Raw genomic sequence first — 18,538 nt, 5'->3', positions numbered from 1 at the left:
GTTAGAGATTCTCTTTGTAATGGGCTGCTCATTGTTTCTAAGTAAATTCACTTAAACTCACCACACATACACATTTAAAGATAAAAATACCTCATGAATTCATATTAACCTTCCAATTCAAATCTGAGACTACAGGGCTTCTTCTTTTTTTTTTTTTTTTTTTTTTTTTGAGACGGAGTCTTGCTTTGTTGCCCAAGCTGGAGTGCAATGGCACAATCTCGCCTCACTGCAACCTCCGCCTCCCGGGTTCAAGCGATTCTCCTGCCTCAGCCTCCCAAGGAGCTGGGATTATAGGCGTGCACCACCATGCCCGGGTAATTTTTTTATTTTTAGTAGCGATGGGGTTTCACCTGGCCAGGCTGGTCTCGAACTCCTGACCTCAGGTGATCCGCCCACCCTGGTCTCCCAGCGATGGGATTACAGGCGTGAGCCACCACACCTGGCGACTACAGGGCTTCTATTTAACCACTCCCTGATCTATCTTCCACACAGACAACCTTCAACACAGGACCTGGGGAAAGCTGGCTGAGGACAGCCCCTAATTACTCACTTGTTACCATACAAAAACTCAGCATAACGATGTTAATACTGCCCCTAATATAACCACTAAAACAACAGATATTTGCAAATGTTCCCTCTATTCTCCTCCCATTTTAAAACACAATTTTGCTGGCCAAGCATGGTGGCTCAAATCTGTAATCCCAGCACTTTGGGATGGCAACGTGGCAGGACTGCTTAGGGCCAGGAGTTTGAGACCAACCTAGGCAACACAGCCAGACCTCATCTCTACAAAAATAAAAATAAATTAGCTGAGTGTACTTGCACATGCCTGCAGTCCTACTTGGGCAGCTGAGGCAGGAGGATCACTGGAGCCCAGGAGGTCAAGTTGGAGGCTGTAGAGAGCCGTGATTGTGCCACTGCACAGTCTGAGTGACAGAGCAAGATCGTCTCAAAAAAAACAAAAAACAAAAACAAAAACAGGCCAGGCATGGTGGCTCACCTGTAATCCTAACACTCTGGGAGGCCAAGGCAGGTGGATTGCTTAAGCCCAGGAGTTGGAGACCAACTTGGGCAACATGGTGAAATCCGATCTCTACCAAAAATACAAAAATTAGCTGGGTGCAGTGGTGCATGCCTGTAGTCCCAGCTACTCAGGTGGCTAAAGCTGGAGGATTGCTGGAGCTTAGGATGTTGAGATAGCAGTGAGCCACGATCAGGCTACTGCACTTCAGCCTGGGCGAGAGCAAGACCCTGTCTCAAAACAAACAAAAACTTTCGTGTGATCAATACATTGTCGGAGCCAATACACACTGCCCCCTTGCCCTCATTAGCCTCGGCTGTACAGATGGGCAGGACCCTGAGCCCACCGCCAGGTCTCATGACTCTCCACCACACTACCTGAAGCCTAGTCGCTGGATAGCTCAGGAAGGGTGGTAGGCCCAAGCTGCTGCACACTGATAGCTTTATCAGCGCCCTTTACTTTTTTTTTTTTTTTTTTTTTTTTTGAGATGAGTTTCGTTCTTGTTGCCCAGGCTGGAAGGCAATGGTGCAATCTTGGCTCACTGCAACCTCCACCTCCAGGGTTCAAGCAATTCTCCTGCCTCAGCCTCCCGAGTAGCTGGGATTACAGGCACCCACCACCACTCTGGGCTAATATTTGTATTTTTAGTAGAGATGAGGTTTCACCACATTGGCCAGGCTGGTCTCGAACTCCTGACCTCAGGTGATCCGCCTGCCTCAGCCTCCCAAAGTGCTGGGATTATAGGTGTGAGCCAACATGCCTGGCCTGTATCAGCACCCTTTATACGTGGAGGTCAGTCTTGCTGGACATAAAATTTTTGGCTCTTTCCTTGAAAAGTCTTAATTAATCCATTTCCTTCTGGCAGAAAGCTCAGTCCTCAAAAAACCTGATTCCCAGGATGCCCCAAGGATTTTTTAAGTCCAGAACTTTTCCTAAAATACTCTTGGTGTTGGTCCTTCTCAGACCCTCACTCTTTCAGTGGCACTCATGTGTTTGCTTATTTTCAACAGCATCACTTTTGAAGGCTTTCCATCCTTTTCGATTTATAAAATCAGCCAGGCGCGGTGGCTCACGCCTGTAATCTCAGCACTTTGGGAGGTCGAGGCCGGTGGATCACGAGGTCAAGATATCGAGACCATCCTAGCCAACATGGTGAAACCCCGTCTCTACTAAAAATACAAAAAATTAGCCATGCGTGGTAGCGGGCGCCTGTAGTCCCAGTTACTCGGGAGGCTGAGGCAGGAGAATGGCGTGAGCCTGGGAGGCAGAGCTTGCAGTGAGCCAAGATCACGCCACTGCACTCCAGCCTGGGTGACAGAGTGAGACTCCATCTCAAAAAAAAAAAAAAAAAAACCATCCTCATTTTCACTTGGCATTGTTTTTTCACTTTGCATTCCCTCTACTTTGTCTCAATTTCTGAAAGGATTCCTGCATTTCTAATCTTTCTTGAGTTCTGTCACTTCATTTCTGAGTTTTTCTAACTCTGATTATGCTTTTCACGTTTCATATCATTTTCTTTAAGTTTTTTTAGTTCATTTTTAAAATTGTTTTTAGACTGGGCGTGTGGGATCACGCCTTTAATCCCAGCACTTTGGGAGGCTGAGGAGGGTGATTACATGAGGCCAGGAGTTCGAGACAAGCCTGGCCAACATGGTGAAACCCCATCTGTACTAAAAATACAAAAATTAGCCAGGCGTGGTGGTGCACACCTATAGTCCCAGCGACTAGGGAGGCTGAGGCAGAAGAATTGCTTGAACCCAGGAGGCAGCGGTTGTAGTGAGCAGAGATCATGCCACTGCACTCCAGCCTGGACGACACAGCAAGACTCCGTCTCAAAAAATAAAAAACAAAATAAAATACAAAATAAAAATAAAACAAAAATAGTTTTTAAATGTGTTTTCTTTGGTCTGTTTTGCAGGCATGCCTTTCTGGCTTGCTTTCATTGTTGGTGGGAGTATTATTCTGCTCCCTACTCTGAGCCTTCTATAGGTTTGACTTTGCTACTTTTCTGATGCTCATTTTTATGGAAAAGTATTTCATAAACATTCAGAATGAAGTATGCTTCAAGAAAGCTGCTCTAATTTTGCGGTGCTCCCTCTGTTGTTTTGTGAAACGTTTAAAACATCACATCCGTCTGCTTTCACCGCTGCCCTGCCCATGACCCTCCCAGGCACCTGCACAGACTCGGTCCCCATCCTGCTTGACTTTATTCCCTCCAAGCAGTGGAATATGCTTTATTTCCTCACTGTGAGGTTCCTTCCAGAAGTGAGCCCTGGCAGGTCAGTCCAGGGAGTCCAGAGGGCCTGGTCTGCTCCCCTCAACCCGATCCTCTTCCCAACAGCCTCCGTGTCCCCAGGCTCCAGGTGCAGCCCAGCTGGGCCGTGTTACCTGCTGAGCACACACTGGCCTCCCACTGGGGTTCGTGGGGCCTCGTGGCTTCTCCTGCTCTCCCATCCATCAGACGTTTTGCATGTAACCTCTGCTTTCTCCCTCAGACACGGATAACCTATGGGTCCGGAAGCTCTGGAAACTATTGGTGGTTTACCCCGACTCACCCCTGGTTTGGGGTTTATGGGGATACTTTATCAGCTAGTGTTGCCGTAAATGATGTCCATAGGCTGTTCTTACTATCGTGCCAAAACACATACACAAACGCTGCCATTTCAACCATTTTAAAGTGACCATTCAGTCATCCACCGGTTTTAGGTTTTGCAGTCTAGTTGTATTACCATCTTCCCAGAATCCCTGGCTTTCCAAAGCCCTCACTTTTCAAGCAAAACTGATTCCAACTGGTTTGTTTCATGGTGACATTAATAAGAATGCCTCCACCACAACTTAAGAACTGGAAGACAACCTACGGTTTGGGCTCTGCCAAAGTTCTGCAGAGATGGAGTATTAAAGGAAACATGATATATTTAAGAATCATCACATTGGCCGGGTGCAGTGGCTCACGCCTGAAATACCAGCACTTTAGGGGGCCAAGGTGGGTGGATCATTTGAGGTCAGGAGTTCAAGACCAGCATGGCCAACATGGCAAAAACCCATCTCTACTAAAAATACAAAAATTAGCCAGGTGTGGTGGTGGATGCCTGTAGCCCCAGCTACTCAGGAGGCTCAGGCAGGAGAATCACTTGAACCTGAGAACGGAGGTTGCAGTGAGCCGAGATTGTGCCACTGCACTCCAGCCTGGGTGACAGAGCACAGAGCAAGACTCTGTCTCAAAAAAAAAAAAAAAAAAAACCCACAACAACAGAGAACAAACGCATTACTAATGGTTTGGTGGCCCAATATAAACACACTGCTGTTCAAGACACTCCATTTCAGTGTGGCCCTTTCTGAAGGTGGTCAGGAGACGGGCTGCGGGTTATCATCCTACGACCCTCAGTTAGTTTCCAAGCTGCCTCTGGCTTCCACCCTGAGAACTGGACCGCCAAGCCAAAAGCTTGGTAACAGTAGGTCCGACTTGACAACAGACACAGAAATATGAGGGCATAAAGGGAATCCAGGTAAAAAGCCTCTTCCTTCCATCGCAGGTTGACTAAATCATCAGATTTTGGCACGGCTAAGGTCCTGACTGCCTGTGGACACACTGACGGCCCAGGCCCAGCATGGACGTGCAGGGCACCCTCGGTCTCCCCTGCTTCCCACCCAGGTGCCAGCCAGACCCCTTGGCTGTGTCCCACCAAGGACAGATACGGACTACTAGGAATGCCAATGATCCTGCGGTTCCCAGTTAGGGAGGCACTGGCTTCTGCACCCTGGCACGCTGCCCTGAGCCGCCTTCTGGCCTGCCCTGAGCTTCACCGAGCCAGCAGCCTGCTCTGCCCACTGGTTTATGACCCCCCGAAGACCCACTGATTGGCAGGGGAGTGGAGATAAGGTAATCCAGGCTTCTAAAGGTCCACACCTGCCTCTTTTATTTTCTTGGAGGCGCCTGATGAAAGCAATCCTTTTTATCACAACGGAAACATCACAGCAGGGATCGCCCCATCACAGTGATGTTAGATCTGGCTGCGTTTAAGAAAAACCACATCATGTCTTCTTACAGAAGCGAGGACAAACACTGGGTTCGCTTCTGCATCAGCAAACATACGGCTGTGACCTGAGGCCGGACCGCTCACCTGTGAAACAATCCCACAGGAGCTAAAGCTCTTCTTGAACGACCACTCACCTGTGAAACACTCCCACATGAGCTAAAGCTCTTCTGAGGCCGGACCGCTCACCTGTGAAACACTCCCACACAAGCTAAAGCTCTTCTTGAACTTCTAGAGCATCAGTACTCTGGCTTCAGAAGCTCTCTTCTTTCTTCAATCTCTAAATTCTCCTAAGAATCTCAAACTCTTCAAGGGAAACTGTTGTTTCACAATAAGAAAAAGACATTCTTTTCTTTAAATAGTTCACATTTATTATTGATAACAATAAAAAAATCTTTTAAAGACTATCAGTATTGTATTACCAAGTGAGGTAATATGTTTACAAAACATTTACAGAATTTGATATGCAAATAACAAATTTAGGAAGGAAAGTGAATTAAGACATAATAGAGGGAGAATCAAAGAATCATTAGTACTAAGAAATGGGAAATGACAGCAGCGTTTTAAAAGAGTGGCAAGGTACTAAAGGTAGAAACACGATGCAAACTGCATACTCAAACCATAGCTGCCCCAGAATTCCCTTACAAGGGGAGTGAGATTGGATTACTCGGGAGGAAACCCTGTAAGCATTTGTGCGGTCATGTGCTTTGAGCTCTTCAAGATGCACTACAGTCTTTGGGTATAAAAGAATGCCACTCCCGAATCAACTTAAAAAGAACAGATCTTCAGCCTGGGAGGGGGCAGGGGATGGCTGCAATTCAAACAGTTCTATAAACATCTCTGGGCACATGAGGACTGTTGAGTGAAGCATTTTCTTGGCAGCTGTCAGCAAAATCGCCATCTGAGACACAGAGAAAGAGAAAGAGAAAGCAGGGACCACCTTCAGGCCCTTGTGATTTGGGAACAGGAAGCACCAGGTGGAAGCAGCACAGACGCGCTACTAACCCTACCTACGAACCCTACCTACGAACCCTACCTACGAACCCTACCTACTAGCCCTACCTACTAGCCCTACCTACTAGCCCTACCTACTAGCCCTACCTACTAACCCTACCTACTAGCCCTACCTACTAGCCCTACCTACTAGCCCTACCTACGAACCCTACCTACTAACCCTACCTACGAACCCTACCTACGAACCCTACCTACGAACCCTACCTACGAACCCTACCTACTAGCCCTACCTACTAGCCCTACCTACTAACCCTACCTACTAGCCCTACCTACGAACCCTACCTACGAACCCTACCTACTAGCCCTACCTACTAACCCTACCTACGAACCCTACCTACTAGCCCTACCTACTAACCCTACCTACTAGCCCTACCTACTAGCCCTACCTACTAACCCTACCTACTAGCCCTACCTACGAACCCTACCTACGAACCCTACCTACTAGCCCTACCTACTAACCCTACCTACGAACCCTACCTAACCCTACCTACGAACCCTACCTACGAACCCTACCTACTAACCCTACCTACTAGCCCTACCTACGAACCCTACCTACGAACCCTACCTACGAACCCTACCTACTAACCCTACCTACTAGCCCTACCTACTAACCCTACCTACCAGCCCTACCTACGAACCCTACCTACGAACCCTACCTACTAGCCCTACCTACTAGCCCTACCTACTAACCCTACCTACTAGCCCTACCTACGAACCCTACCGCGCTTTCCGGAAGCAAAGGCTTCAGGTACCACTGAGGAGCTCGATCTCTAAGAGCAAACACAAATGTGGTCCAAAGGCAGGTGATCACAGCACAGGCCCTGGGACGTCTACAGTGTGCAGGCAGCCACTAGGGCTGACCCGACCGGGCAAGAGGGCTGCTCGGTCCCTCCCCCGCCCTCCTGATCCCTGCACGGGGCACACATGGCCTCCACACAGCTCTCCAGTCACGCAGCACCCACACAGTGCCTTCAGAGCGGAGCTGAGACGGCACAACCAGGATCTCCATGCCTACCACGCACACAGTTGACAGCCGCGTGGGGTTTGGCATGAAAAACACGGCCTCTGCTGCACACAGAAACACGTGTTGCATGTCCTTATCGTGGAGGCCATCCCCTATGCAACTTCTGGACAGATTCTCAAATAACCTGCTTTTCCCATAAAAAGCTGAAAAAATAAGGGCCTGTACCAGATAGAGCAGGCTTTAAAATCAGGAATTAAACAAAATGTAAAAGGCAAACAAATCCCATATTCTGATTTGCTTCTGTGAAGATTCCTTCATTACTCAAACTAAGTTTCCACTCACCCCGTCCCCCCAGCACCCCCACCGTCATGCACACATGCACACACACAGCACATGCACACACACACACGCATGAGTCCACAATTCCCATGTACAAAGAAGCAGGACTCCTACATGCCACACGCCACCCTGAAGTGGATGCGAGAGCTGCTGCTTAGCTACTAATAAAACCCCATGGACAGTGTCAAGTGGCAAATGCGACTTGCTGGTTCCAAGACGGCCTCCTAGTGGCTGGAACTGTCTGGGCTCTGAGGACAATGAGCCACCAGAGGGCACAGAGGAGATGGCCTACACTGGGCTGGGAGCTGACTGCAGGTGAGAGGGGCGACGCACGGAAGGAAACGGGAAGAACCCCCCCACCCAAGTTCACATACAGAAAAATCCTGCTCTAAAAAGTATCAAAAAGATTTGAAAAGGAGGAAAGAGAAAGTAATGTTTAACGATGGCAGCATTTTCCTGGAGTCACCAGGAGTCCCTGAGAGCCCCTCCTGAGCCCCCGGCCCCACTGCAGGACAGTGGGTGGTGTGGGTGTGTCTGGCCCTGGGACAAGGTACTCCGCAGGCAACCTCTGAATCCTCAGAGGATAAGGACCTCAAGGGCTGGCCCTAAGTCCACAGACCATCTTGACTGGCGGGAAGCATGGGGGCCGTGAGGCGGCGTGCGGGCCATGAGGCAGCTTGGGGGAAGCGAGCTGGCAGCTTCCGTCCCAGGTGAGGAGGGGCCATCTCTGGAGGATGTCACAGGAATTCATTCACTAATGGACAATGCGGAGTTCGTTGGAAAAATTTTTTGCATCAATATCTGAGACCACGTCAATCCTTTAATTGGTACAGAAACTACTTTTCTTTCAAGAGAGCCCTTGCGCTCTGGTTGGATTTTGTGCACAACGTATACAAAATCTATGGCTATTGAGTTAAGTTAGGATCAGAGTTAAAACTACCTGCCAAGGTAGTTTTGGGATCAAACGACTACGTTTACCATCTGAGAGCTATTTGCTATCTAGAGGTGAGAGGAGTCTGTACAATGTCGCCGCTGGGTGGGCGGGTGCAGCTGGCTGTCCGAGGAGGGGCGGCCGTCCCCTCTGCACACTAGGTGCAGGCAGCGCGGCACTACCTGGAGATCATGGAGCTGGAGTGGGACTGGCTGGAGGAGGTGGTGGCGGCACTCAGCTGGGAGAAGCCGCTGTGGCTGGACTCCAGGCTCGTCATGGAACCTCTGTAATGGCACAGGGAGGGGCGAGGCGTGAGGACCACCCTGCCAACCACCCGCCGGCCCACACTGCCTGCTGGACTTCGTGGCCCACCCTGTTCTCTGCTCACTTCTCATCCCCATCAGTGCTTGCAAACGGGGGATGGACATGAGTAACCCACCAGGGGGACCGGCTTCCCACAGCCTGCACGCAGACGGCAGTGTGAGCTAAAGCAAAGGCAGTCAGTCGGCTCTGTCTCCGACACTCTCCCTCTGCAGACAGGCAGGGAGTCACCGTGCCAACAAATGACCCCAAAGCCACTCCCTCCTGGCCCTCCAAGCATTCCTGACACCCGCCGCCACTGCTGATCCTGCACACGGCGTGGGACTGCAGGCTCCCTCCAACCATGCCCAGCTGTCCGCAGCACCTGCTGTGGCGAGGGTGGCCGCACCTGAAATCCTCCGAGCCGATCACCTCGGTGTAGTACATCACTTTACACTTGTGCGAAGAGACCTGCAGGGACGCAAGCACGTCGTCCACCCGGGGAAGGCTGCTGGCGGCGCACGCAGGCATGCTGTGGAATTTCCACTGCAGGATGTAGAAGCCCGGCCACCTGGTCACATGGGAACCCTAGAACAAGTAGGGCAGTGGCAGCTGAGGGCGACTCGCTTCCGACCCCTGGCCTACCACAGGCCTGACAAGCGCCAAGGGGACTGTCTTTAGGATTTCATGTAGCTACGGAAACTATCTCAATGGGATTCAGAACCTGCTATTTTGCTTCAGCAGCAGGTTTGACAATGTCCTTCCCTCTACTGAGTGTGGTCACTCCCGGGTGCTGGGAAGCCCGGAGGGACAAGCTCCATGTCCGTGGCCCTCACGAGGCCTGCCCAGCCCACCCCACCTACGGAGGCAGGAGCCTGGCAGGCTGGTGGCACCCATGCTGGAGGGAGGGCTCAGCACAGCTTCCCTGGACCTGGCCTCACTTTCTCTGACATGCTGCCAATCATCCAGCATGTTCGGGGCTGAAGGCACGTCACCCTAAAGTGAGCCGTCAATCCGTGGAAAGCTCCTTCTCCATTCTCTCCGAAATTCATGACTGGTTAACACAGCTTAGCTGTTCATTGTTTTTAAAATGGACAAAGGATTCTTTTACTCTGCCTCTAAGACCACTGAAACACTGACAAGCCTTACCCCTGAAAACTGTAAAGGCAGCAAAACGATGCATCTATTATGAAGGCCAGAAGCAATGCCCCCGCCCCGAGGCTACTGTGAGCACAGGCACCCAAAATAACCAGCCACAATGTGAAAAGGGAACTGAAAGCATTTGAAACAAATTAGAAGGTTTGGTAATGAGAGCTAATAGTTCTCTAAGTACTTGTCCCTCTTACTTCTATTTAGGGTGATTTTCCTTTGAAAAAGACAAACACAACCCGGTGAAATGAGGCGGGGGGGAAAAATCCTATGAAGCCCAGCTGGGCCCGTGCGTGCGATGCCTTCCCTTCCTGTCACAGGCTGCTTTTGGGAAAAGTCGCAGATTCTGTCCAAAACCACTGCGAGGCCTGAACTCCTTCCTACGAGACCCACTTGGCTTCCTGCTCCTCCAGGCAAGCTGCTCCTCCACAAGCAGGGCCTCAAAAGCTACACAGGGCTGCTCAAGGAGCGAAGCAAAGAGTCTACTCAAGACAGAATCACCTGGCCGTGTGGAGTCACGGATGCGCGATTTGACCTGTGTGTGATTTTACCTGCACGCTTTCTCCTTCTTTGCAGATCAGAGGCGACTCCACCATGCTGTAGTCGCGGCCCAGCTGCCAGACTTTGTCTATGAGCTGCACATTGTTCCCACCCGGAGAGGTGATGCTGTGGGCTCCCAGGGAGTCCTTTTTGGGTGGTTGTGGCGACCTCTTGGAGTGATAGATGTTAAACACAATGTCCCCTTTGCACACGTCGAAATCCCAAGTGATGACTGACGAGGCATCCACAATCTGAATGAGAATCTGAAAAAGAGGCAGCGTTAGGCAGCCACGATCCACGAGCACCAGGCCGGCATGCTGCGAGCGCATCGTGCTCTCCAGGGGATCCAGGGTGCAGGTGCTGAAGCTGGGGAGGGAAACGCTGAATGCGTATGGACGGATCTCTTTCCCCAGAGTCACACACCACCATCCATTCAACCGCTGGATCCTGCTACATGTCATGCACCAAGCTCTGTGTTCTTTGTGACCTGCACCTAGAGGTCCAAGATCTCCCATACACCATCTTCACACACACTCTAAGAGGCCAGGTCTTAGAAACACCAAACACTGTGAGCTCGTACATGAGTGGTTCAGAGGACTGCCCTGGGCTGGACAGAACAGAAGGCCCTGGAGAAGGTGAAAGCTAAAGAAAGAGCAGGCAGGGGAGCCTGAGGACAGCGTTCCCAGCAAGGGGGAAGCAGGGGCATGGAACCGGGCCTGCCGTGTGAGGCTCACACGAGAGAACAGTGGCGAGGCTGGGTGAGCGGGATGAGCCCCTGGCATAGTAGAGATGGGGTTGAGGTGGTCACCCCCTGGGTGCTGAGAACCAATTGAAAACCAAACTTACACAGCACCGACAGAGCTACCCAGGAGGGAATAATCAAAGTTAGTTTCAAAGATTGGGCGGGGGCGGACGTGAGAATGAAAAGCAGCTGTGCAGAGTTCTGCAGTCACTGAAAACTCCACCTAAGGAAGCAGCAGAGCCAGGCCCACGGCCCCTCTCAGCCCATGCACGCTGTCTGCTGTGCCCTTCAGCGCGTGGCTGCTCTACGAGCCGGGCCCCTTTAATCCCACCACTGCCACCTCACCACTGAAACGCCACTTCAGAATGTCCTTCCACAGCAGATTCAGTGAGGTACAAGGGTCCTGTCTAAGAACAGCAGGCGGCACCACGTGGCACGGCCCCCTCTTCAGCAAAGTGGCTCCCCAGGCAGCTCCATCCTGAGGCCTCGGCCCCCTGTGCTGACGGAACCTCTTTCCTGCATTCACAGTGGGGGCCTCCGCTTCAGCCTTCCTTTCAGTTTGTTGCCATCTCGGATCTGTGCTTTATTTAATACCCAAAGCAGAACGGAGGTTTTTACCATGTGGATGTCTACAGATGCCCCCGATTCACACGAAACACACTGCACCCCAAGTTCTTGAAACATGGACAAGAGCGATAGTGCCTAACAAACAAGGAACAAGGACTCGGTCCCTGGAGCCTGCCCTCCCGGTAAGAAATGAATACAGACAATCCTCAAGACGTTATGAAATCTGAGATTCCTCTATGTATGTATCTACAAGTAAGGCACACCAAATCTGTCTCTGCTTGTTCAAACCATGGCAACAGCATTCCCTTATCCACCTGCCCTGCAAGCACCAGGTGAGCCACTCAGGAAGACACCCCAGCAGAAGCCACTGGCAGATGGCTGACCCAGGTGCCACCACGGCAGGAAGCAGGCCGCAGTCAGCTCCCGGCCAGCACCATTGCCCAAGCCAGCACCACATCCTCACTGACACCTGCTCTGCACAGAGTGCCACCATCCTCTCCAACAACTCTGGGCCACGAACCTTGTCCTAGCTGAGAAGGGAGATTCCGCTGCAGGCCCCTCCTGCTTCAGGTCACTCGTGATGCTACAGGACAGACATATGGCATGCACAGGAACACGGAACGCCCTTGCTTCTCTACCAAAAGTGACAGCAAAAAAGGAATACAGGAACACCCTCCTTGCTCCATTAGACTTACAGAAATCGGAAAATCCCCAAGATATCTATAAATAACCAAAACCCAGCCAAGAAAAAGTAGCAAACGGGCCAGGTACAGTGGCTCACACCTGTAATCCCAGCACTTTGGGAGGCCAAGGCAGGTGGATCACCTGAGGTCAGGTGTTCGAGACCAGCCTGGCCAACATGGTGAAACCCCACCTTTACTAAAAATACAAAAATTAGCCAGGCGTGGTGGCGGGTGCCTGTAATCCCAGCTACTTGGGAGGCTGAGGCAGGAGAATTGCTTGAACCCATAAGGCGGAGGTTGCAGTGAGTTGAGATCATGCCAGTGTACTCCAGCCTGGGCAACAGAGCAAAACTCTGTCTAGAAAAAAAAAAAGAAAAAGTAGCACATGAAACTTGTTCAATATAACCATGAAATAAACTAAATTCAGGAGTTAAGTGCTCCAACAAGGAAAGATTAGCTATTCCTATCTCTGTGTTTGGTGGCTTTAGTAAAATGGAGGTCAAGAGATCCAATTTCCTTTCCAGGCACTCTGATCAAGCACAGCTAGTTTCTATTCTGAGAGAGACCCATTCTTCGACGTTGACATTTACTGAAACTAAATATCGAGTGTCAACAAAAGCCTAAAGACAAAGAGCAGAAAAACGAGTGGACTGTTCTGAATGAAAGGCTGCCAGGAAGCCCTGCGAGGGCCAGGCCCTCTGCGGAGGAAGGGCCGGCCCAGGTGCAGGAAGGCGGAGGACGTACCTCATGTGGGGCTCCTTTGAAGACGCTTGCAGACTGGTAGATGGTCTCAGTCCAGAGCTTCAGGTCTTCGTTCTCCAGCTCCTCTGCAGTCCGGTACAGAGATTTGGGGACCAGTCCACCCTCTGGCACTTCGCACTGGAAGAAGAAACACAGCAGTGAAACCTGTGCAAACACAAACCAACCCCACGAAACCCAGACACACCGGCCAGCACTATCCCCCTGCACTCAACTTCTGGAGGTTGCTGAGAAAATGGAAAACACTGGCAGGGTCGTAAAACACTCTGCACTACTGAGCAATATGTTTTTAAAAACCACTTAAATACATGTGTTTTACTCTGCATAAACGGGAACAAGTTGAAGCTGATGTACCACAGAATTCCTACTAAAATGCGTGAGGCACTGCACCCAGTTACTAAAGCTGACTCATATAAGCATTAGGGGTATTTATATTGCCCTGTAAAGGAAAAGTATTACTTTAAGAAAAGAGTTTTGCTCTCAATAGCCACAGGCATTATTTTTATGATAGGGAATTATAGTGAAGATACAGAATCAATGAATAATGTTTTCTGTCTAAAGTCAAATGACTGGTCTATAACACCAGCCAAAAACTAATGAAGAACTTCTTTTGAATTTGCCTGAAACAAGTTGAATTAGAACTTGTACATAACATAAATCTCCTAATTGACCTTGACACAATGACTCCACACTAAAGTTCATAAAATCGAAGTCCTCGTTCTATTAGCCTTGGGAAGCAACTACATAGAAAATAAACATTTCAGTCTTCAGCCTGCAGTACAGCATAAGTGTCAAAGCAGTGATGTCGTGGTGGAAAAATACCAGACTGCCCGCTGGTTAGTAACCTCCGGCCACCAGAGAGCAGGAGGGAACAACCTCCTTTCAACAATCAGCCTCAACAGCAGCTCAGGAGAGAGGTGAAGAAGCCTTAGAAGGCCCAAGTTTTTGGACAGTTCAATTAACCACAAAGACGCTCAGCACCGCAAACACACTACGGAGGTCGGCATGTGACAAACAGGCACAACGCGGTGAGGCAGGTCTCCTTGGGCTCCAGCTCAATTCTTCGTGTCATAATTGGAAGCAGCAACAACACGGGATGGCTAGCTCATATCATGAAAGGAGTTCAGAGGTTTCTACGAACCTGAGCCTGCGGTTTAACCTCATAGGCGCTTGCTAAATTCTGGTCCTATAACCTTTACTGTAACTTACTTGCTCTTTGCATTGTACTGTGATGATGCCTGTAATTTCCTTAAAGTGGAACTGATGAAGTGAAAGCTAAATTCATTTGTTTTCTAAATTTCTCTAACCATTCAGAAAGTCCAAAGTCCCCTGAATGTCCAATTCATTAGCTAAATACCTGAGTCAAACCCAGTGGGTACACATTCCAAACGGGTAACTTTTCATATGAAGGATGACTAGAGAGCCCTTCTGAAAAGGAGCTTCACTCCCTGCTGAGTTCAGCCACCGCCGTGTGCCATGGAACAAGTCACTGGGACTTCTAGAGGCTCTGGCTTCCGTAATGCTCCCAAGACACAACTGTGCACCATGGGCTAGAAGCCTATAAGGACCCCAAGGTTCTGAGCTTCTCTGAGTACAGGATATAGAAGTGGAGGCCTCTGCTTCATTACCCAGCAACTCAGTATATTAAAAACCCCAAACGTATGTTGAGAACCACTTCCCTTCGTTTTTTTACTTTAAAAATGTTATCCAGGCCAGGCATGGTGGCTCATGCCTGTAATCCCGGCACTTTGGAAGGCCGAGGTGGGCGGATTACTTGAGGTCAGGAGTTTGAGACCAGCCTGGCTGACATGGTGAAACCCCATCTCTACTAAAAATAAAACAATTAGCTGTGGGTAGTGGCGCATGCCTGTAATCCCAGTTACTCCAGAGGCTGAGACTGAAGAATCGCTTGAATCTGGGAGGCGGAGGCTGCAGTGAGCTGAGATTGCACCACTGCACTCCAGCCTGTGCAACAGAGCAAGACTCCATCTCAAGAAGAAAAAAAAAAACCAAAAATGTCATCCAGTCTGGGGCAAAATAGTGAGACTCTGCCTCTACAAAAAATTCGCTGGGTATGGTGGTGCACGCCTACAGTCCCAGCTACTTGGGTGGCTGAGGTGGGAGGATCACCTGAGCCCACCAAGTCAGGCTGCTGAGCTGTGATCGCACCACTGCACTCCAGCCTGGGTGACAGAGCCGGACCCTGTCTCCATAAAAAAAAGGACGGGGAGGGGCGGGTGGGAAATTTTGAGAACTGATTCAATTTTTTAACAGTATTTTAGAAAATATGACAGCTCCTCTAAAATTGTTTAAAGATCTGATTCACACAAAGCCGTGTGAATCAAAGCAAGCTGCAATCGTATTTGATTCTACGAATTCTCATTCGTATTTAACAATGAAGAAATGTACAGTATCAACAATTACTTCAATGGTTCTCTTTAGCTTAACCCTGGATCAGAGAAATGGCGGCCAAAAGAAACAAAACAAAAACAAAACATCCAAACAACTGGAAGTTCTGAAAATCATTTGTGCAAATCGACACCGACCTCTCCCACCTGCATAAGGGGCCAAATGTGCAGTTCCTCGCCTCAGGACATACCATGCACTCCCCACTCAGGAAATCTGGAATAATCTCTTTGTCGATGTAATCCAGCAGGCCTCCAGGACCCTGGTAGTCATTTCCTGCATAAATGAGGAACTTCCTTCTGGTGTTGTCATCAATGAACGGACTAACCTGTGAGGAGGAGAAGACCATGCAGTCATATTTCTCTGCTGCCTGAGTGTCCAAGATTAAAATGACAATGTGGTATTCTGAGTGGGAGGGTGGGGGGAAGACATTCAAGTTTATATACTTCTTCTGTAAAGTCTATTTGCATGGCATTAGGACACTCACATTTTGTTTTTCCCCTTTCTTAAACAATTTGAGAAATTTTATATCTTTGCATGTTATTGTTTTTTTTCCTAAGAAGTTAAGACTTTAGGTCACAGACACGTGTATATGAATGCATGTTATCTGCTTTCCAAATGGCTCACAGTTACTGCAAAAAGCATCTCAACCCACCAGCGTCCAGAGCACAGGAAATACCCTGGGCGCCCGCAGGATGAGAAGGCGGCCCAGTGTCTCAGGGTAGTTGGCCTCCACCACCTCGATGATCCGCAGCAGCGCTTTCACACCAGGTCTCCACAAGTGGCGCATGTTCAGCCCTTCCAAGTCCACCAGGCAGGTCCATGAGCTGCAGGTTGTGCAGAGATGTGTTTCATTCAACAGACAGCACACTTAGCAAACTGTGTCTTATTTTCTTCCTTTTTGGTCATTTATAGCTATTTCCAAATACATCATAATCAATTTTTTTAAATTATAGTGCTATGTATAGTGCTATGAACCCTGTTTATATCTACTTGTACAAAACACACAGGATCAGTGTGGTAGGACCAAGGCCTGAAACTGCAATTAAGGCTGACTGATAATGCACGAAAAGCTCTCTCAGATATGCTCAGTGAGCCGGCAAGCAAAGCCACAGTGTGCTGTCCTCGACGTGCTAAACCACCCCCCAACCTGCCATCAACAGGGCACACAGCTGGTATTTTAACACATATTGCATCTGAACTGCAGTGGGCTATGCTTCAACAGAGAGAGAGGCAAGCACTGTCCCAGGAGCTGAGAATACAGCAGTCAGCAAAAGGCCCTCAAAAACCCTGTTCTCATGGAACTTACATCCCAGTGAACCATCTACACCCTTATCAATGTCAACCTCTGAATCACTAAACATTTTCAGAACTCTTTACTGTAACTTAGAGCTTGGTTTAAGAACACAGAGTCATCTGGGTGGGGAGGGGAGGCAAAAACAAGCAAACGATCTGCAGCCCTGGGCTCCTGCGGCCCGCACAGACTAAGCAGACAGGCCAACCCACTCTGGCTGACGTCACAGCAATGCCTGGGGTCAAAAAACACTAACTGTCTGTCCCTCGTCACTGGCATATTACATGTTCACTTCTTGTCTACCTTTTAGAGCACCTTGGAAAATAATAAGTAGATTTTAATTCCAAAAATCAACTAGAAATATTTAATTCGTTTTCTCAGTAAGTTGAAAGGAAAAACAAAATCCCACATCTACCTGATAGGCCGACCAAAGACTTTTGTATTCTCTTCGCATCGCCTTAGCCCTTCTTCATTTATGGAGAGAACCTACATACAAAAGGGCATGAAAATTTACCATGATTAGTTTAAGGCTAAAACTACCGCGTCCAGCTATGGAAGAGGGACACTAACAGCGTATTACAGATAAGCATGTAAATCAAAAAAGTCACCTATGGAGATTTTCTTACACATTCACATGCGCTAAACACATCACCACCAACAAATAAATTCTACTTTTGAAAGAGAATAAACACTGTCATGTGTGGCAAAGGTAACGGCTATCCAAAGTGAAGCACAGAGGTATCCCCAGATGAGCAGGGGCCTGGCTCTGGGGCTCTGTCTTCAGAACAAGTGCATGGGAACAGGAGATGAATGTCTGTGAGTGTGAGAACACTCTGATACCACATGTGCCCGCCAAGAGAAAAGGCAGCCTGAGAACAGATGTAAGGCATGGCTCAAGCGATCCTTTGCTTTAGGTTAATAAACCCCTCCCCTGTAGATAAAGTCCATCCCTATCTTTATGTGTGAACGTGTGCATGTGGGGATATATAAACACACATAGCGGTGGGGGCAGACTAACACAATACACAAGGGAATGCCAACAGTGAGCCAGGCTCAGTGGTGGTGCTTGTAGTCCCAGCTACTCAGGAGGCCGAGGTGGGAGGACTGCTTGAGGACAGCAGTTTGAAGCTGCAGTGAGTCGTGATGACACCCACGAATAGACACTGTACACTGTACCCCAGCCTCAGCAACAGAGTAAGACGATGTCTCTTTAAAAAAAAAAAAAAAAAAAAAAAAAAAGCTGGCTGGGCAGGGTGGCTCAAGCCTGTAATTCCAGCACTTCGGGAGGCCAAGGCGGGAGGATCACCTGAGATCAGGAGTTCGAGACCAGCCTGACCAACATGGTGAAACCCCGTCTCTAGTAAAAATATGAAAAAATTAGCTGGGCATGGTGGCGGGTGCCTGAAATCCCAGCTACTCAGGAGGTTGAGGCAGGAGAATCACTCGAACCTGGGAGGTGGAGGTTGCAGTGAGCCAAGATCACACCATTGCACTCCAGCCTGGGTAACAAGAGTGAAACTCCGTCTCAAAAAACATAATAAAAAATAAAGCCAAAAATGCGTATTTCAGGATAATGGGGCTATAAATACGTCTTTTAAGTTTCTGTTTGTTTTCAAATTGAAGGACCATCTTCTTCTCTGGGAGGGGGAAGCACAGCTGCCAATGGCGGCAGCAGTGGAGCGGGGCCTGGCTGGAGTCAGCGAGATGATGGGTCAGCAGGCATTCAGGAGGGTCTGGAGAAAGACGCCAAGAGCTCGCGTTAACGAAGGGCCAGTGGAAAGAATGCTATCAAGAG

At 49.2% G+C, this 18,538-nt stretch overlaps 1 protein-coding gene across 7 annotated transcripts in view, besides 5 other annotated features; it reads right to left on the bottom strand.

Annotated features, from left to right (window-relative positions):
- Positions 459 to 958: an enhancer, noted in NCBI's record as "H3K27ac hESC enhancer chr17:75217629-75218128 (GRCh37/hg19 assembly coordinates)". NCBI's record gives its function as "activates a minimal SCP1, AML or CMV promoter by ChIP-STARR-seq in naive H9 embryonic stem cells {active_cell/tissue: H9 hESC(naive)}" and the evidence as "EXISTENCE:reporter gene assay evidence [ECO:0000049][PMID:30033119]".
- Positions 959 to 1,460: an enhancer, noted in NCBI's record as "H3K27ac hESC enhancer chr17:75217127-75217628 (GRCh37/hg19 assembly coordinates)". NCBI's record gives its function as "activates a minimal SCP1, AML or CMV promoter by ChIP-STARR-seq in naive H9 embryonic stem cells {active_cell/tissue: H9 hESC(naive)}" and the evidence as "EXISTENCE:reporter gene assay evidence [ECO:0000049][PMID:30033119]".
- Positions 4,187 to 4,710: an enhancer, noted in NCBI's record as "H3K27ac-H3K4me1 hESC enhancer chr17:75213877-75214400 (GRCh37/hg19 assembly coordinates)". NCBI's record gives its function as "activates a minimal SCP1, AML or CMV promoter by ChIP-STARR-seq in naive and primed H9 embryonic stem cells {active_cell/tissue: H9 hESC(naive and primed)}" and the evidence as "EXISTENCE:reporter gene assay evidence [ECO:0000049][PMID:30033119]".
- SEC14L1 (SEC14 like lipid binding 1) overlaps positions 5,404 to 18,538 on the bottom strand; it is a 128,417-nt gene continuing 115,282 nt past the window's right edge. For 5 of the 7 annotated variants that reach the window (NM_001204410.2, NM_001143998.2, NM_001143999.2 and 2 more), the window contains 7 exons: positions 17,159 to 17,229; positions 16,105 to 16,276; positions 15,643 to 15,777; positions 13,029 to 13,163; positions 10,304 to 10,555; positions 9,013 to 9,191; positions 5,404 to 8,587 (listed from right to left, as the gene is read on the bottom strand). In NM_001204410.2, coding sequence (NP_001191339.2) covers positions 8,482 to 8,587; positions 9,013 to 9,191; positions 10,304 to 10,555; positions 13,029 to 13,163; positions 15,643 to 15,777; positions 16,105 to 16,276; positions 17,159 to 17,229 — 1,050 coding nt within the window. In that variant the 3' untranslated portion in view covers positions 5,404 to 8,481. The remainder of the gene's footprint in view (positions 8,588 to 9,012; positions 9,192 to 10,303; positions 10,556 to 13,028; positions 13,164 to 15,642; positions 15,778 to 16,104; positions 16,277 to 17,158; positions 17,230 to 18,538) is intronic. The other 2 variants (NM_001204408.2, NM_001039573.3) reach the window with 1 other exon arrangement.
- Positions 9,941 to 9,990: an enhancer, noted in NCBI's record as "active region_12826". NCBI's record gives its function as "activates an Ori minimal core promoter by ATAC-STARR-seq in GM12878 lymphoblastoid cells {active_cell/tissue: GM12878}" and the evidence as "EXISTENCE:reporter gene assay evidence [ECO:0000049][PMID:35858748]".
- Positions 10,331 to 10,440: an enhancer, noted in NCBI's record as "active region_12825". NCBI's record gives its function as "activates an Ori minimal core promoter by ATAC-STARR-seq in GM12878 lymphoblastoid cells {active_cell/tissue: GM12878}" and the evidence as "EXISTENCE:reporter gene assay evidence [ECO:0000049][PMID:35858748]".

Source organism: Homo sapiens, chromosome 17 (assembly GCF_000001405.40).
Source record: "Homo sapiens chromosome 17, GRCh38.p14 Primary Assembly".
In the NCBI taxonomy this organism is placed as follows: domain Eukaryota; kingdom Metazoa; phylum Chordata; class Mammalia; order Primates; family Hominidae; genus Homo; species Homo sapiens.
The sequence above is the reverse complement of the archived record's forward strand: the minus strand, read 5'-3'. Positions and strand labels throughout refer to the sequence as shown.